Source organism: Homo sapiens, chromosome 12, assembly GCF_000001405.40.
Source record: "Homo sapiens chromosome 12, GRCh38.p14 Primary Assembly".
In the NCBI taxonomy this organism is placed as follows: domain Eukaryota; kingdom Metazoa; phylum Chordata; class Mammalia; order Primates; family Hominidae; genus Homo; species Homo sapiens.
Genome location: NC_000012.12, coordinates 45288901 through 45309541, shown reverse-complemented (window position 1 = coordinate 45309541; position 20641 = coordinate 45288901). Strand labels below are relative to the sequence as shown.

Genomic DNA, 20641 nt, shown 5'->3' with positions numbered 1-20641 from the left:
TTTGAGACAAAACCTGCAAGTAAAAATTTGTAGACCTGTGGGTAGCTGGCTCTGATTCTCTCATACCTTTCACACCTCAGGGCAAGGAAGTAAGATTAATGTTCTTTTCCCAAGTGCCACTTCCAGACCATTACTCCTCAATGTTCTTGGAAGAAAATTCATTTCAGGTCCATGTGAATAGAATACAACCCCAAAGCTTCCTAAAGTCTATAATTTCCAAATTCCCAGCTGCTGCTCCTGGTTCACTGAAATTCTGATTCTGGGCTCACATGTTCCTCTCCAATGTGTGTCCTTCATCAGACCAGGACCTATGCATCCAGAGACATGACATGACCAATGCATTCTGGCCTCTCAGTAGCCTCACTTCTTACTGCCAATCACCTTCTCCCTTTCATGCACTAATGCCATAGTCCCACCCCAGCCCTTGCCATCCTGAAAAATTCAAGAAGCATTTATTTAAGAAATATTCAAAAAGAACTTATTTAAGAATCCCTCTTTCTGACCACAACTACATTACCTACTCATTTCACAAGACCCCAGGGGCCCCTCGACTTTTTCTAATCAATCTGCCAACCCTCTTCTTTCTTCCCTTCCTTCCATCTTTAGGGCCACATTCCAGAGCACACTGTTTCAGTGACATCTTGCCAATATTGTACTCTCCATAATGTCCATCTACAAAGCCCCAACTCTGGCTGAGGGCTGCTATCTGCTTTCTTGCTGTCTGAATGATGCTGGAGAAAGCCACACAGCAGGGCAGTGTGGTAGGACTATAAATTCAGGATCATCAGCCCCACACAGGCCCTGGCCACAGCCCAGAAATCCTAAAACTTTTTCCAGGTTGCTCTAGTTAGCCTACTCTCTCACTCTCCAAATTGGTTAAATCAAACTCTGCCTATTCTACACTTGCTCCCCTCAAGCTGGATTTGAATGGGAAAAACACACAACCACCCAACCCTGACCATGACCACTACCATTGAGTAGGCTCTCATTGCTGCCAGCAATGACATTCCATTTCCCCTGTGCATTCACTTTCCCACTCTTCCAGATGAGTGTCTCACCCCTTTCTCCTCACTTCGGATCCCATTTCCCTCTTCAATCTTAGCTAATGCCTTGCTTTCCATTTCACTGGTGAATGAAAACCAATCAAGAAAAAGCTTCCGCAATCTCCTATCAAATCTACTGAACTAATTTCATCTGTGTCCCAATATGCTGGCTTCCCTCTTACTTCTAAGAAGGAACAGTCCCTACAGCTATGGCCAATCCCTCCACTTATAGACGGGATTCCCTTCTTGCCCTCTCAGGGACATTATTCCAGTAATCCTTCCCTCTCACTCTTGCATCATCAGATTTTCTCTCCCTACTGAACTGCTCCCACTACCTGACAAACAGTAATTCCTGCCATCTTAAAACTCTCTTCACGGTAATCACCCTTCCGGGTACTACCCCTTTTCTCTGTGTTCTTGCTTGGCAAAAAAAAAAAAAAAAAAAAAAAATTACACACACACACACAGACACACACACGGAAGTGTTACCTAAATTCTCTGTATCCAGTTCCTCTTCTTCCATTCTGTTTTGAATCCTTTCTAATAAGGTTTGGATTCTACCACTCAACCCAAACCCCTCCTGTCATGGTCTTTTCCCTATTGTTAAATACAATGGTCAATTCTCCATCATCAGAATGTGGTCATTCCTTCCTACTTTATACTTTCTTCACTTGGCTTCCAAGACTCTTCACTTTCCTCCCACCTCACTGGCTCCTCCTGGCTCAGCTTGTCCTGCTGATTTTTCCTCATCTCCGTGACCTGTAAACACTGGTGCCCCCGGGCTCAGTCCAGCATCTCCTCTCTATTCTATCTCACTCCTTTCCTTGCTGCTCTCATTTCGTCCCATGGCTTTAAACATCACCTGTGTGCTGACAACTCTCACATCGGGGGTTGGGCCCCCCTCTTTAACTCTTACTCCAGGTTCACATATCCCACTGCATACTGACTTCTCCACCTGAATGTCTCAAACTTTACATATCCAAAACAGAATTTTGATTTTTCTCCTGCATATCCTCTCCCCAAACTGCTCCTTCCACAGACTTCTGGGTCAAAAACTTAGAGTCATTCCTTGACTGCTCTTTCTCGCACAGCTCACATTTGATCTGTCAACAAATTCTATTGCTTCTACCCTCAGAATGTATTCAGAATTTGAGTATGTCTCTCTATCACCATAACTAACACTCAGGACCAACCCACCACCATCTCTCATTTGGATTCCTGAGAAAGTCTAATAGGTCTCTCTGCCCCTGCTCTGCTCCTCCATAATCTATTCTCAGGACAGCCCAAGGGATCCTATGAAAACAGGGCAGTTCAGGTTGCTCCTCTGCTCAAAATCTGCCAGTTTACCCTCCAAAGGCTCACCCTCAAATGACTTCCCAACTCAGAGTAAAACCAAAGTCTTTACAATGGCCTATGAAGTCCTCATATCTATTATTCTCTCGATCTTTCATTCTACTCCAGCCACAGTGGTCTTCCATTTCCTTAAATGTATCTAACAAACTCACCTACCTCGAAACCTGTTTATGCTACTCCTTCTGCTGGGAATGCTCTTCCTCCAGATTTCCAAAGAACTTGCTCCAGCAGCACCTTGAGGTTTTTTCACTTGGAACTTCTCAGTGAGATATTCCCTAAACACCCTATTTAAAACTGTCACCACCCCCCCAACACATACACACAAATAATCCCTACTTTTTCTCTACAGGATTATCTGACGTTTGTGTTTTATGTCTCCCCCATCAAAATGTTAGCTTCACAAGTGCAGGGATTTTTTTTTTCCTGTTTCTTCACCTAAAATAGTAGATATCGAATGAATATTTTAGTAAATTAATATTTTAACTCTTCCTTGGGATCACATGTGTTTTCATATGGTTGAAGATAATCAAAAATTGAATTTCAGGGAATCAAAAATATTTTTCTATAAAGTAGTATCTTCCTTCAAAAAGGGAGTCAGTTACACAAAATCTCAGGGGGATAATTACTCTTCAGACTTCCTTCTCTGTGTATCTGTGACACTTAATTAATGGGACATATATTTGTTCTCCTTTAATCTTCATCTTCCTGAGCCTATTTTTCTATTTAGCCTTTCTAAATCCTATGGTTTCTCATCATCTTCCCTGATTTATCCTATTATAAACCTAATACTCTTTTGCCATCCCAAATTCTTTCTTATTATTTATTCCAAATTTCGTAGAGACTAAGCAATGAAAAACATCCTCGGTTGGCATGAGATCAGAGGCAAGAAGAATCTTCCAGCTTCTCAAAAGTCAGTAGGGTTATATATAACCTCGAGTTCTAGAAAGGCTGGAAAATGTCAGTCTCAGATCATAAAACGTAATTCCTTGGCCTTCTCTTTCCTTGTGTTTTCATGTTGACCACAGCCTGATTTCTATCCATGGCAGTATCTTCCAGCTTGCTGCAAGCAGATTCACTACTGCTAGATCAGAATCCTTTCCCACACCCCATCCCTCAGCTCATGTGTACTCAGGCAACTGGCCCATCTGAGTTCCTGGGTCAATGTCAACAGAGTCAGAGTTTCTAGAAATAGCCTTGACCATTACTGCTCCCCCTGCACCTCCAGTTATTTTTTTTTCAACTCCTTGGGGCTTGGAATCAACCTGGGGTCTAATGGGCCCGCCATGACTGCCCCTTAGATCTCCTTTGCTCTTAACCAGACCTGGGATTGGGCAAACTAAGGGAAGTGTGGGATATCCTGCATGCAACCACATGCAGAACAACATTTATCTGCTCCATCACCATGTGGACGCCTCCCCATCCTCAGTTTCAATCACATGGCCTATTTCTGAAGTCTCTACTTTTAAGACGGAACTCTACAAGGTTATCTGAGTCTCTGGTCCTCAGTTCCCAGCCTCACTTTAACTGATTCCCTTCCCCAGAGTCATCATGCACCTAATCTATTTTCATCCATGTCCCCAAATGATAGTCACCATTCACATAGTTCCAGAACATCTGGCTATGCCACCATTTTCCTGACTACATCCTCCTTGAACTAACTGCTTTCAAAGTAACAATGGATTAGTTATGCTTATCAATATATTCAACAAATAATGTCAGAGACAATAACAATGTTGGAGAAAACAAAACAGTGTGGGAAAACGTTCAAGATAAAATGTTAATGAAACGAGTTATAAAACAGATTTCATTGTGCTTAAACAAAAAACTGAACCAGGATTGGGACAGTTTTCCACCACAGCAAGATCATCAAGTTACTTTCTAATGCCAGTATTTGCCGGGTCCCTTTCACCTGGACTCTTACCCACACACCCATCTTACTTTGGAGTGTGTCTATGTCACAGTTTCTAGTTTCAACACATTCCCAGCTCCTAAGCTTTGGGGTAGCAAGAACACATGCACCTTATGTTCACATCTCTATTCACCACTTACCATTTTTGCATAGTTTAGCTAAACTTATCTGCCTCAGTCTGCAAAGTGGGGCAGGAGCTGGAGAAGAGCAACACAGATATGCAGGTGACATGTAATCAATGGACAAACTCCGCAGCAAGTGAGAGAAGAAGCCACTGGGGATGCTGCCAAGAGCAAGGTAGGCTGTGGTCTCCAGGCCACTTGGGAGGTTCACAGCAGCATTTATTTCACTGTGATATATGCACACTATACAGCAGTGCTGGCTTTACCTAACTAGTCACATTAGAGACACCTCAGCTGTGAAGGAAAACTTGAATGTGCTTATGATGCCAGCGGCCAAGACTATTCAACTGGCAATGTTCTCTTAGGTCTCGTTTCAAAGGAAAGAAAAACAGAAATTCTGAAGGAAATGAACTAATAATGATAAGCATTTTAGTTTCCCTGTTAGCCAAACTCTATAAATACACCCCATTGTATAAAAACACTAGGCTCTTGATCCTTCTAAAATCTGAACTATTTGAGGATAAGGCCCGAGTAAACATGAACTAGGCTTTGCTTTATTTCGGTTCAACTCCACAAACTGCAGTTGGACCTTCCAAAATGCCAGATGGAGAAAAACAGAATATTGATTTTTCACCTCCTTTTATTCCTCTTTTCAGTCTTCTTTCTTCAATTTTGCTTTGCCTTTGGGTTCTTTCTGCTCTCAGGTTTGTACTGTGACACTCATTTCTGATTTTAAAATGTGGCTTGAATCAACTTACCTGATTTTGTCCTGGCATTTGCCTGCCTATACAATGGGAGCCACCCATTTTCACTGACGCTGTAAGCTTCTGCCTACAAAAAGAGCTGAGCTTAAATATAATGCTTGATTCCTCTGGGCACCCTGTTCTCAAGGCACCACTTCTACACCTTCTGTTTGTTTACCATGGAGACAGCAGTTTATGTTTACTGTGGAACTGGGAGTACACTGGCTAAGCTGATGCTAAGGAGAAAACACAGCAGCTATTTACATGTTACACAAAGAAGTGACCTTAATGAGCATCAGATGTGTGAAAATCTACGAAGCACAAGAAAATCCCAGATTCTCTCCCGAACATGTTATGAACCCATAACTAGAGAAAGATAATAGCCAGGATACAGAAATCTGTTATCAACCACACATACAGGGATATTGTGATTAACAGTTTTCAATGCCATCAATGCAGTCTAACAATATGACTCTCAATAATTCTGTAAGCGTGAGACTGAAAAATAAAAAAGTGGGGATTTAGCCCAAGAATCTCCTTCCAGCTTGGGTGTTCTCAGATTCACTGTGAAAACAAGTCTTTCAATAAGGTAAATGTATTCTGTGAGCCCGGAGTTCCACCCCTGGGCATTCTAGCTTAGACTAGCTGTCTTCTTCCACTTTGAAAAGGAAAATGTGGTACTCAAGAAGTTAATGCTGAAGGTGGAGGAAGATTATCAGTGTATCTGCCTTATCTGTGGCAACAAACTGCCGAGACTTGCCAGTCTGCAACATCGCAATACACTCAAGGCTGTTCTTGAGGAAAATACTTTTATTTTCACATAGGGAATTGGTGCGAACTATGTATAGGTTTACCAGGCGCACCAACACCTTGTTGCACACAGTTCTTTTTAGATTAGATATGTTGCTTGAAAAGTATCAACAAAAGGAGCCAAAAATAAAACAACAAAAAAAAGAGGCAGCTTCATGAGTGTCTACCAGTATCATACTCAAATGTGAAATATCTGTGTCAATTCTGCTTTTGGTCTCTAACTGCAAAAGTTAGAAAACCCACAAAATTGCTCTGCTACTTTAAGATGCAGGAATATTGGTGGGCATGCACAATTTCCCTTTACCAGAAATCTTATTGAATATAATAGGGAAGTCATTGAATACTACGTCTTTCTATTATATCCAGGTGATTTTCACAGTAGGCAATCTGCTAGTACACCACAGGAGTCCCACACTTTGAAATAAAATGGCATTGTGGATACAGTTTTATGTGCCATCCCTTTTCAGTCCAGAGCACTCTCTAGTTTCTTTACTCTTGGTTGAATTGACTAGGCAATCCATAAAGAGTGAGCAAGAACAGAAAAAGCACATAATGAGGTTTTTTTGGTCTTTACCAATAATACAATTGTGCTCTGCCAATTACTGGAGTGGTGATTGTATATCACATTGAAAATAAATAAAAAAACATTTCTGCACTCCTAAAGTGGTAGGCCATTTGCAGCAGGGACAAAAATCAGGAAATGTAAGTGGATCCTGGCATGTTTTTCCTACATATCTGGTGCAATAATATGGTACATGAGTCACAGAAACACTTGTTCCCATCCCCGCCCTCCAAATGAGCCTAATGTAAAAATCTATTTACTAAGGATATTTTGCACAAGGCATCCTATGTGCTTAATTTTCTTTAAAAAAGGCATTAATAAAATCATAGTAGCTTCTAATAAGATTTTTAATTCCTTAAGGGTAGGAACCATGGCTAATCTTTAATGAGTCCAATTTAATGGGAGCATTTAGTTCCCTTCTGGTAGAAACAACCAACAGAATATTCCTAGCCCTACAAGATACATGTAGGTTGTATCACTGAAAGCTCCAGGATGAAAGGGAAAGTAGACTATGTTCGCTACCAGTGACTGGCACTGGTCAATATACCTGTATATGCTTAAAGACTGCTTTCCAGAGTTACTAACAACAGATACTGACAGCAATGGTATCAATGAATGGAACAGGAGTTTCAGAAACAAGATGCTATTTTATTACAAAGTGAACTCCCATTTGCAATTACATGAACAATATGAAGAACAAACCTATAGACCATGATGCTTACACAATCAAGTTCAGCAACCTATTCCCAAGAGACACCAGAGCTCTGAACGCACAGTCCCTGCAATAAGATCTATGTAGGATCTACAGCCATTGAAGGAATGAATTCATAAAAGAACTTTTTTCTCATTTTGTGAAAAATCTCTTAGCTTAAGAATACAAATTTAAGATAAAGGAATAGTACTCACAAACTCCGGGGTTCGAAAATCATGCTGACTTTCCAGTGATCCCAAATCGGGGACAATTGTCTGTCCAAGGTTTTCCAACACTAAAAACGAATGAATATATAAACAAATGAAGCATGAACCTGCACTGGCTCACGTAGTTCTGTACTTTTAAATCAGCAGCACCGGGTTATTAACATTGGTAGCACATTGACAGGTTTATATTATTTAACCCTTTCAGCTATCAGATATATTAAAAAATATGTAGCAGCTGTTTCATCTATTGGATCTACCAGACGATGCCAGGGTTGTAGAACACTAGGTCTTAAAATTCTCTAGGCAAGGTCTACCACTGAAAATCATTTAACTGGTACACAGCAAGCAAATGTTACAAAAGTCTAACTAAGAAACACTTTACTGATGTTCTGTTTTCTATTACAGGGTACTGCTGTGAAGTCCCTTTGTGGGTAGCAATCTTCTTTTTCTTTTTTTTTTTTTTTTGAGACAAGGTCTCACTCTGTCACCCAGGCTGGAGTGCAGTGGCACGATCACAGCTCACTGCAGCCTCGACCTCCTGGGCTCAAGTGATCCTCCCACCTCAGTCTCCCAAGTAGCTGAGACCACAGGTGTATATTACCATGCCTGACTAATTAAAAAACATTAAAAAACATTTTTTTTTCTTTTGTAGAGACAGGGGTATCCCTATATTGCCCAGGCTAATCAGTCTCAAACTCCTAGCCTCAAGCGATTCTCCTGTCTCAGCCTCCCAACGTGCTGAGATTACAGGAATGAGCTACCATGCCTGGCTATTTTAAATCTGATAGAAATATAATGGGAGCCAGATAGAATTTACTAGTAGAGACGTTTTTAAAAAAAAAGAAACAGGTGAAATTAATTTTAATAACATAATTTATTTAACCCATACTACCCTAATTATCATTTGAACATGTAATCAGTGTAAAAACTATTTATGAAATATTTTACCTCTTTTGTGTTAAGTCTTAGCAATCCAGTGTATATTTTATACTCACAGTGCATCTCAGTTCAGACTAGCCACATTTCAAAAGCTCAATAGCCATTTGTGACTAGTGGCTACCATATTGGACAAGTGCCATGTTAGAGGGATAGAGAAACCAAATCAAGAAGGTAGGTCATTCTGTAAGACGCTATAGTTTCATCTTGTCAACAAGTTACTGACATGAATAAAACGAATTGTTCCAAGTTAACAAAACAATCATTTGCAGCATGTGGTTCTGGATTGGATCCTGGTTTAAACAAATGAGATGCAAAGAACTTTTTTATTTTTAACTTGCAAAAATTTGAATAGAATTTTTGCTATGTAAGAAAATGTTCTGAATAAATGTAAAGAGATATTCTTAAATATTTAAGTAAGCTTAAAGATTTAATGTTTAAGTAAGTTTAAATAAATATTCTCATTTATCAATAGGTCCAGCCTCTTTAACAAGTCAATGACATTAAAAAGGGAGATCAGATTTAAAGAGCCCTAAAGGACATAACCACTAGCAATATAGGGTCCTCAACTGGATCCTAATTTGGACAAACCAGTTATAAAGGACTTATTTTTCAAAACTGGAGAGTTTGAGTATGGAATAAGTATAAAACTATAAAAAATTATTTTTGGCTGGGCATGATAACTCACACTTGTAATCCTAGCACTTTGGAGGCCAAGGTGGGAGGAGTGCACAAGCCCAGGAGTTTGAGACCAGCCTGGGAAACATGGTTAGACATCTTTACAAAAACCTTTTTTAATTAGCCGGGCGTGATGGTGTGCACCTGTATTCCCAGCTACTCAGGAGGTTGAGGTGGAAAGATTGCTTGAGCCTGGGAGGTTGAGGCTACAGTGACTGTGATCATGCAGCTGCACTCTAGCCTGGGTGACAGAGCAAGATTCTGTCTCAAAAAGAAAGAAATAAATAATGCTTTAATTTTATTGTGTGTGATTTATCTCGGCTTTGTAGTGACTTTTAAAAATGCATACTATGTTTTCCCTTAATCCATTAAAAGCTTTTATAGAAGAGAAGGCTGGGTTCCTATTGATCTAGAAACATTCAGTGACCCAAAAGAAGAAAACTCAACATTCATATAGGGCAGAATCATAAGAGATCTCTATGTGATTGTTTACAAAACCAAAATATCAGCCAATAATTTAGCCAATTCAGTTACCAAATACTTAGGTTTGGCACCTCACTAAGAAATCTCCTAATATTTGGATTCAATTTTTTTTCTTTTTCTTTTTCTTTTTTTTGAGATGGAGTCTTCCTTGACTGCCCAGGCTGGAGTGCAGTAGCGCAATCTGGGCTCACTGCAACCTCTGCCTCCTGGGTTCAAGCAATTCTCCTGCCTCAGCCTCCCAAGTAGCTGGGACTACAGGCGTGCCACTACACCTGGCTAGTTTTTTTTGTATTTTTAGTAGAGAAGCGTTTTCACCATACTGGCCAGGCTGGTCTTGAACTCCTGACCTCATGATCTGCCTGCCTCGGCCTCCCAAAGTGCTGGGATTACAGATGTGAGTCACCGCTTCCGGCCTGGATTCAATTTTAGGTTCACACAGAATCTGAGGAAAAAATACCTCACATCTTTGTATACTTATGAATTGAAAAGAAATGCCAGTAGAAATGACAGTACAATCAAGTGATTCTAACTCTTCTGAAAAACTGAGTTCATTAGAGGACACCCTATGTGTGAACCAAAGCAGAAACAGAAAACAGATGAGATGAGCAAAGGCTTGAAGAGCTGCAACCATTGCCAAAATTAAGGTGCTTGCCTCTGAGAACTCCTGGAGGGCTATAGTAATCACCACACAGTCTGTTACACTGAGAGAGTTGTAACATACTAAACTGGTTATTCCAGTACAACAGTTGTCCAAGATAATTACACTCCTACAGACCATCTTTAAAACTTGCTAAAATGTGCTTATATGCGAGGCTATGATAAGTGTGTTCTAAGTTAGTGCTGGGCAGCTTGCTTTACATTTGGAAGAAAAGACCTAATCTTTTTATAGTATTAAGACAGATGTTAAAAAAATTATATCTATGGTATTTATGATATTTTGGTTTTTGGCAGAACCAGCAAACAAGGAAACATAATACTGTGGGGTTTTTGTTTTTTTTTTTACACCAGTATTATAAATCCGATGGAGTGACTTGGCATCTTATCTAGATTCCTAGATGATTAGATACCCAATTTATCTGTTATCTAAGGTCAACAGACGGAGCTGCTAAAGTTGATTTTTTTCTTTTTTCTAAATGAAAAGACAAGCTTAAGAAAGTATGCATTTTGCCTAAAGACAGGACAAACAAGATTACCCAGATGTTCTATCCAATAAACGGTATCTATGTAGCTTGAATGGATTTGTGAAAGAAATTAGAACTATTTATAGTTTTAGTTAGTCTGCTGGTAATGGAAACTAATAGATTCACTGGTTAATGTCAATACAAAGAAAAAACTGTAAATCTGAGTGAATAAAAACAGAAATGGCTTTATTGAAACATCATCTAGGTAGAACAAAGCCACAGCTCTTGCTCTCATGACCTGATAGAGTGCTGGGAAGCAAATGATTTATGAGGCCAATATAATTCTACCCCCACTACTGAGGGGCTCTAGTTACTGTTTGATATTCTCATTTATGGTAATCTAACACAACTGAAAAAGTTCATTTCTCAGCAAAAATAAAATAGTCAAAATCAAGGTGACTGAGGGTTTGTATTAAAATGAGCAGAATCAAGACAAAATTCTAAAAAGGCAAATATGTTAATTTCATTTCTTTCCTTATATAAATCATGTTTTTCTTAACGTAATATGTTGAAATGTATTTTTAGTCCTGTCACTATGCCTCAGCCTTATACAGCAAAAGTACTATCTTCAGTGGCATCATGTTTAGTTCATTTAATTTCAGCACTTGGAACAACAGTACTTGAGACCTCTATGTTATCTGTTCATCAAACGGCTGACTAGAAAACAAAAAATAGTTATTCTAATATGATGACAGAAACCTTGGTCTTGATACGTCAGTGGGATTTCGCATGGATGCACAATGAAAGTGCAGTTCAAAATCAGGTTCAACAAACATCAAAATCTACTTTATATTTTGCACACTGTGTGGTAAGGCCCTAGGGAAGCCAAGAAGAACCAGACAAGGTTCCGTTTTCTTGAAGAAAGAAACCAGAGACATAATTAATGTTAATTTTAGTGTCATTTCTAAGTGCCACACTAGACAGATTTATGGAGTACTGTAAGAATACTATCAATTGGATTACTATAGGTAAACATTGAATAATTGATGATTTCGGTCAAAAGAAACCCACTAAATAGCTACCTTTCCTAAATTCAATAGAATTAATTATATAACACAGTGAAAAATAAAAGAGCATACTTTAAAAATTTTTATCAATGCAATTAGTATAGTGAAATTGAAGCAATAAAGTCCTTGGTGGTACTGCTTCTGACTTATTTGATAGTCCAAAATCAACAGCCCAAAAGAATTTTCTAGAGGCCCAGTCATATTAATAATGCAACACTGGAAGCCTCTACAGAAAGCTGCAGTTCACATGATTACTTGTCTACCAATTAGAAATGGAGTAACTAACATCCATTGTCCCAATTGTAAAATAAAGAGAAAATCTATACAGCAAAGTTGTTTGAGACTTATATAAACTGGCCAATAAAAAGAGCCATTGTCTACAAGTTTATAACTCAGACAATCTATTATCTATGAGAAAACACAAAATGATCTCAGGAAACTCTTGGTTAAAACCCCAAATACCTAATAGGTAGTGCCCTAGGAATAAAGATAATCAGAATTAGGCATCAACAATTTATCCAACTTAGCACTAGCATGGCAGGTGGTTGGGTCCAATGACTCATCTGTTACAGGGATTGGTTGCCATTAAAATTATCAAAGATAGTGAATATATAGAGAGAGAGCAAGTAAAAGTATACCAAGGCCTGGCACAAAGGGCACTGGGTATAGACTGAGGGGACTGACTGGGTTCAAGTTCTGATTCTGTAATTTCTTAGCTGCATGATCCTTGGCAATGCTTATTCTCAAGTTTATTTATCTAATGCTAGTGATAACGTTACTTTCCCTGGTTATCTCACAAAGTTGGGCAAAGATATAAATGACAATTCACAAGCATGTTGTTAAAAAAAAATAAAGCACTATATAAATACAAATTAAGTTCATGTAACAGACTCAATGATATGAAGTCACGTAATCAGAAATGTACCTACTATTTTGTGCCTGGTACTTCTAAATGTCTTATCTTATTTAATCCTATTTTTGTCCCTCGTTTTCACAGATGAAGAATAATTAAGGTTATTGGCTGCATGAAGTTAACCAAGCAAAGTGACACAATGGGAATCTAAACCTGATTCCAAAGTTGCACATCTTTTAAAATACATTAATTTGTCTCCTGAGCTGCTGTGAATAATCCAAAGAACTCCTGATGTTAGATATAAGTTTAGAAGAAATTAGAATAGTATTGTATATAAATTTTAAAAATCAGCAAATAACTGCTTCAATATAGCCAGATAGAGATATAACAGACTAATACAATTTGGAAAAAAGAAAAAAAAGAAAAAAACAATGTAGTGAAATTTATATAGCATTCGCAATTAGAACTAATGGGAAAGCTCCACAGGGTAAACAGATACAATACTCTGGCAAGTGGTTAAAGACATTCGTGTGCCAGGGATTGAGCTAGATGATGTAAGTACAGATATCAAGATAAGGAGGGTACAGAATCTAACCTCAGGAATTCTATGATCTAGTCAACGTACGCAACTAAAGAAATGTCAAAGGAATGGCCCATATCACCTTGAGAATGAGGACATGTTCACATATCCAGATTGGGCACGATATCTAGAGATCTGCCACGCTGTCTTGTACCTGAAACTCTTCTTTCCATTCTGAAAACTGGATCTCAGCATACATCTAATATTTGACCTGAATGCCAGCACTCACCAGTCATTATTTTAAAAGCAACCACACGGTTGGATCACCTGACACCAGGAGTTCAAGACCAGCCTGGGCAATGTAGTGAAACCCCATCTCTACTAAAAATACAAAAATTAGCTGGGCATAGTGGTGCATGCCTGTAGTCCCAGCTACTCAGGAGGCTGAGGCACAAGAATCACTTGAACCAGGAGGCTGAAGTTGCAGTGAGCTGAGACCGCACCACTGCACTCCAGCTTCCTGAGTGACAGAGACTCTGTTTCAAAAATAAAAATAAAAATAAAAATAAAAAAATTTAAAAAGCGCCTGTAATCACAGCACTTTGGGAGGCCAGGTGGACGGATCACTTGAGGTAAGGAGTTCGAGACCACCCTGGCTAAAGTGGTGAAACCCCGTCTCTACTAAAAATTAAAAAATTAGCCAGCCATAGTGGTACATGCCTGTAACGCTAGCTACTCTGGAGGCTGAGGCAGGAGAATTGCTTGACCCAGGAAGCAGAGGTTGCAGTGAGCCGAAATTGGGCCCCTGTACCCCTGCACTCCAGCCTGGGCAACCGAGTAAGACTCTGTCTCAAAAACAAAACAAAATAAACAAATAAAAAAGAGAGTAAAAGCAGCCACATACAGGGCCCACCATTTCCCGTCGCTTCATGCTTTCCAGATTGCTGGGCCTGCCCAGTCTCACTCCCCACATCACTTCAGCTGAGTCTATCCCCGCCCCGCTGCTCCTGCATCATTCTCTGGTAGTCATAATTGTTCTAAGGGGTTCCAACATCTCTTTCTCTGGCCTCAGTTTAACAGGATTTGCCATATTTTGGTGAACAATGAGGTGAGAGAAATTCTACTTCCTATATTAGCAAGAGGTTGTAGGCTTGCAGAGTATAGGCCTTGTGATATTACAACGAGATTTTAAAATAGAGCCACTCAGTCATTATTAATGCAAAGAATGTTAGTAATAAAACATAAAATACAAAGCCAAAAGCGTAGCTTTCAAGAGCATGATGGCTATGTATTGCTACACAGGACAATGGACTTGAATCATAAGAGCGCTACATGGTTTAGCCCTGAGGCTCAGGCACCTCACTTAACGCTTAGTCTGTTTCCTCATCAATAAAATGCAGATTATAATGCCTACATCAGAAGGTTACTGTGGAGAATAAGCTGACATATATATGAAACTGACGTGAAGACTCTTAAGTACTATATAAATATTGGCTATCATAATTTTTCACTTCAATTTTTAATACGTTTTATCATCCTTTGCCTCATTAGGCACCAATTTTTCCTTCTGACTTCTATCTTGACAATCCCTGTCCTTCATTTCCTTTTTAAATATTAAAATAAATTTAAGCATAGAAAGGGATAACATTAATTCAGCAATCATTTTCGAATAACTACAACGTTCTGGGCAATGTTGGTTACTTGTTTCTAATGAAAAGAAATGTCAATCAGGAAATGTCTGAATCTGGATGGATCAGTCTCTTACCCAGTCTGTTACTGGCAAGTAAACTCAATGACTTACTATTTACATTAACAAAAAAAGTGGCAGTCTCTTCTAATCATTTCTAGAATGCAAATTCCAAATTCAAATTGATAGTTTTCATTACAGTTCTCTGTCTTTCCCATCTATCTTAAGACAGGAGCTTTCCCTCCCTCCCTGCACCTGGCCCCCTTCTCAACAAAGATATTTCTACAATTATTACCACTTCAGCCACTGCTTCTAAAACAAAGAAGGAAAAAGAAAGTTATTCATGAAGATGTAAACTTTGTCAGGGTAAGAACATTTTTTACTCATGGCCAGGGTCCAGTACTATACATTTGGCAATTTAGAAAATTAATAAATATTCTCTCCGCATTCTGGTAAAAAATGCTTTTCCTCAAAAGGTTCCCCTTTGCTGTGCTACCCTTCTTGAATAATGTATTATCATCAGTTCAATTCCCCAATCCAAAAGCGGGAGCCATTCTTGACCTTTCTCTTTCCTTCACTATCAATATTTTGGTAAGTCACTAAATTATATCCTTCTTATTTTCAACCTCATCTTAAGTGTTTTCTACCTACCTGGAATGCACATTCCCATATCCCCTGTGTTACTCTTTCTTCAAATTTTTCTTTCAATGTCACTGCTTATGTGCCAGGTTAAGTTACTTGCCTCCACTTCATGCTCCTATAGCACTAATTTGGATGTCTAGTAAAACCTGCCACATTATTATAGGTGGAGCCAAAAAATCATTGCATTATTGGCTATTAAAATACAGTATTTTGGCCGGGCGCAGTGGCTCACGCTTGTAATCCCAGCACTTTGGGAGGCCGAGATGGGTGGATCATGAGGTCAGGAGATCGAGACCATCCTGGCTAACACGGTGAAACCCTGTCTCTACTAAAAATACAAAAAAAAAAAAAAAAAAAAAAAAAAACATTAGCCAGGCATGGTGGCAGGCACCTGTAGTCCCAGCTACTCAGGAGGCTGATGCAGGAGAATGGTGTGAACCTGGGAGGCGGAGCTTGCAGTGAGCTGAGATCATGCCACTGCACTCCAGCCTGGCAACAGAGCGAGACTGTCTCAAAAAAATAAAATATAATATAATACAGTATTTTTTTCAGTTGGACATCCAGTTATAGGAAAAAGGTTTTTTTTTTTAAAGAGTGATTTTTATAAGCAAAATTTGCAGCTCACATTGAACAGAATTCAAAATTATCACATGGTTACTTTTTGACAACTACCCACCACTATAGAAGATAAAATCTGGGGAAAAGATAGGTGTTGATCCTTCTTATCACAAGAAAACTGTGTGGTCATTGTTTTTCTTCTCCACTAGTCCATGAGCTCCTAGAGGGCAAGCCATTGTCTTATTCAACTCTATATTCCAAGAACCTGAAACAATACCTTGCATATTATAGATGCTCAATAAATGAGAAAATAAACAAATGATGAAATTAATTATAAATTTGTCACTCCAGTACAGTTACTAGTGCTCTTCAATTCCTCAAAATGTAATTGCTTAGATAATAAGAGAGTGCTTCTATTTCCAGAACCATATTGCACTGCACCATACTGTGACACACACACAAAGCAGACTAATAATACAGTGTCCCTTCAAGACCAAATACTCATCAAATATTTGGACAATATTTATAAAAAAGGAGCCTCCCCGGCACTCTGCCCACTGCTCACTGTTCCAGCAACTCACCAAATAGGAACATGTTCTTACCAGCAGCACAAAACATTCCACAGCAGAACAAAAGGGGGAATGGACAATTCGGTGAGTCCTTGACGCTTCTTACCCTCCTACCTCTACCTTAAGTGACAACTCTGAAGATTTCTATCATCCACAAACAGCAATATTTCTGAGAAGAGTTTCAGTAAGCACAATTTCTCCACCTTGTAACATTTCCATGTTTGGTGTTGTTTCAGCTCTGCTTATGAACTCTTCCCCTATTCCTACAAGCCTCCTCTGCCCCAACAGTTCAGCTCTAAAAATACATCTAGAAGTTAAACATGCGTCCTTTGGAAGAGCTGGAAACAACTATCACATTACTGATTCTCACACACAACTGGATTACCTAATGCTTTTATAGAAAAACTCAATGTACACTGCAAACCTATCAGATTCACTGTGAATTCATTAGTTCTCTTACCATCTTAAAAAAATTTATTGCAGTAACGTAATATATAAGCATAAAGTTTGCCACTTTAGCCATTTAAAATATATAATTCAGTGGCAATAATTACATTCACAATGTTGCACAGCCATCACCACTATTTCCAAAATGTTTCTGATCACCCCAGAAACTCTAACCATTAAGCACGAATTCCCCATTTCCCCTTCCCCTTTTCCCCAGTCCCTAGTTATCTCTAATCTTTTTTCTATCTCTATGAATTTGCCTATTTAATATATTTCATATAAATAGAGTTATACAATATTTGTCCTTTTGTTTCTGGCTTATTTCACTTAGTATAATGTTTTCAAGTTATATCCAAGTTGTAGCATATATCAGAACTTTGTTCCTTTCTATGACAGAATAATACTTCGTTGTACAGATATACTACGCTGTATTTACCCCATTCATCTGTGGATGGACACGGGTGTTGTTTCCACCTTTTGGCTATTGTGAATAATGCTGCAACGAGCACTGTTATACAAGTATCTGAGTCCCTGTTTTCAATTCTTTTGGGTGTATATCTAGGATTTGGAACTGTGGATCGTACGATAATTATGTTTGCTTTTTAAGGAATTGCCAAATTGTTTTCACAATGCCTGCACCATTTTACAGTCCCATCAGCAATGTATGAGGGTTCTAATTTCTCTACATACTCACCAACACTTACTATTTTGTGTGCTCTTATTTGATTAAAAAAAAAAATAGTAGCCATCCCGGTAGGTGTAAAGTGGTATTGTGGTTTTGATTTTCACTTCCCTAATGGTGAATGATGTTGAGCATTCCCTCCTGTGCTATTAGATATCTGTACATATTCTTTTGGAAAAACATCAAAAATGCTCAAGTCCTTTGCCTATTTTCCAACTGAGTCTGTCTTTTTGCTGTGTTCAGGAGTTATTTATATATTCTGGATATTAAAGACTTATCAGATACATGATTTCCAAATATTTCTCCCATTCTGTAAGCTGCCTTCACTTTTTTAATATCCCTTGATGCACAAAAATTTTTAATTTTCTCAAGTCCCGTTATCTATTTTTAATTTTTTTTTTGTTCATGTTTTTGATGTTATATCTAAGAATCTACTGCCAAATCCAGGTCATAAAGATTTTCCTTTGTGTTTTTTTTTTTTTTTTTTTTTTTGAGACGGAGTTTCACTCTTGTTGCCCAGGCTGGAGTGCAATGGCGCGATCTTGGCTCACCGCAACCTCCGCCTCCTGGATTCAAGCGATTTTCCTGCCTCAACCTCCTGAGTAGCTGGGATTACAGGCATGCACCACCATGCCCAACAGTTATTCCCTTATGTTTTCTTCATGAATTTAGCTCTTGCACGTGGGTTAATCCATTTTGAGTTAATTTTTGTCTGTGATGTGAGGTGGGATTGAACGTTGCTCTTTTCGCATGTGGAAATCCAGTTGCTGCAGCACCATTTGTTGAAGAGACTCTTCTTTCCTCATTGAGTGTATCTGGCACGCTTTTCAAAAACCAGTTGGGCCATTGACATGTGGGTTTATTTCTGGACTCTTGATTCTATTCCATTAGTCTATATATCTATCTGTACCCAAGACCACACTATTTTGATCACTGTAGCTTTGTCATTAAGTTTTGAAATCAGAACCCATGAATCCTCTGACTTTATTCTTTTTCAGAATTGTTTTGGTATTTGGACAACTTGCCATCTCATATGAAATTGTGGATCTGCTTTTTCATTTCTGCAACTTTTAGCATTTAATAAACAGACTTTTAAAAACTTAGATTTACCATTAAAAATAGATAGCTGAAGAGTAATATTATTTAATTTTGCCAATTTGGTATTTTAAAAGCCTGGTTTAGACAGCTGATATTCTATAAATGGCAAACAGTATTAATTGTAGAAATATGTTCCAATAACATCTTGGAACACTACTACTATTGCTTCACAGTCTAACTGGTTCAGGTCTCCTAAGACCCTCAGGCTCTCAGTTCAACATTATCCTGGGTTTGCAACTGGTTGTGGCTTAGCTGAAACTTGGTTCTAGTCGCTGACCTGTCAGTTCCCAGATTATAGTGATTGCACATGGCCTGGGGATGAAAGAAGACACCACTTTTAAATTCCTATTGTCTTTCAGCTCCAAGTACATTTGAGTCATAACTTCATGCTTAACCTATCAGAGTAGGCCTGATTTCAAAACCAGTTTTTGCTGCCTAGAAGGAATGAGAACATAAAAATGAAAGGAAAAAAAAAGCCGCTATAGGTTCACATGACCTTATCCAAAACCTGTGATGCCAAAACCTAGTGTTTCAGAATTCAGAATTTTTCAGAATTAAAAAAAAAAAAATTTTACATGTATATATTGTCTCTATTACTAATGCACCCCCAGTGAAGTCTGGAACAGCATGCCTTACCCAAACACATTCATATTTTGCAGCCAGATAATATAAATATTCATTTGAGGGGGAGGATAATGAAAAATGTAAATGGTCTTGTGTTGGTTGAGGTCAGATATCTACATCAAATGAGTTCAGCTCTGTCAGGTTTTATAACCAAAGGAATTACCAAAAAAATTTTTTTCAGCACTTTATGGATGTTTGAATTCTAAGGAATTGTGAGCCTGTAATAACTACGAATATATTCAGCACCCAATAACAGATTACACAAAACCTCAGTACAGCTGCTTGTCATATACACACAGAGCAAAAGGTTGGCCAATTACCTTCAAATGAAAAACTAATTGACTGGAAAAGGGAAAGACCCCATAGGGTCTCATTTCCTCTAATCATCTCACAAATTGAGTATTTACCAAATTAGTATTTCCCCCAGTAATCAGCTACAAATAAACTCTAACTCAGAAAGTAAATCCTAAATTTGGATAAAAGGAAAATCAGAATTGATATACTACTTTTAATTATCCAAATGAACAGAAAATAGTCATTAATATCTAATATTAGCAAAGATGCTGGGAATAAACACACTGGCAGTGTGGGGTGGTATAAGCTTTTTGGGTAGCAATTTGGTGAGTATAGCAAAAGCTTTAAAATTATTCACACCCGGCTGGGCACAGTGGCTCACACCTGTAATCCCAGTACTTTGGGAGGCCAAGGCGGGTGGATCACCTGAGGTCAAGATCAGCCTGACCAAAATGGTGAAACCCCATCTCTACTGAAAAAATACAAAAATTAGCCAGGTGTGGTGGCAGGCACCTGTAATCCGAGCTACTCAGGAAGGTGAGGCAGGAGAATAGCTTGAATCTGGGAGGTGGAGGTTGCAGTGAGCTGAGATTGCACCCCTGCACTTGAGCCTGGGAAACAGAGTCAGACCATGTCCAAAAAAAAAAAAAAAGTAATAATAATAATAAAATAAAAATAATTCATACCCTTTGATCTTATAATTCTACTAGGAAATACTTGATTGCTTAAATCAATTAGGGTACAGCTATATGACTGTATATAATGCAATTATTTAAAATAATTTATAGAATATTCATGACAGAAAATTTCAGCAATATATCTCTATGTGAAAAAGTAGATTATAAAATGTTATATATTACTGGCTAACACGGTGAAACCCTGTCTCTACTAAAAAAAAAATACAAAAATTAGCCGGGCGTGG

At 38.5% G+C, this 20641-nt stretch overlaps 1 protein-coding gene across 6 annotated transcripts in view; it reads right to left on the bottom strand.

The window, feature by feature from the left end:
• The window catches only part of ANO6 (anoctamin 6), a 224310-nt gene that overhangs the window by 130863 nt on the left and 72806 nt on the right, over window positions 1–20641 (bottom strand). For 3 of the 6 annotated variants that reach the window (NM_001142679.2, NM_001204803.2, NM_001025356.3), the window contains one exon: window positions 7449–7528. The exons of 1 other annotated variant lie outside the window; for it this stretch is intronic. In NM_001142679.2, coding sequence (NP_001136151.1) covers window positions 7449–7528 — 80 coding nt within the window. Of the gene's footprint in view, window positions 1–7448; window positions 7529–16586; window positions 16853–20641 lie in introns of those variants that run through there. 2 more of the 6 variants (NM_001410973.1, NM_001142678.2) reach the window with 2 other exon arrangements.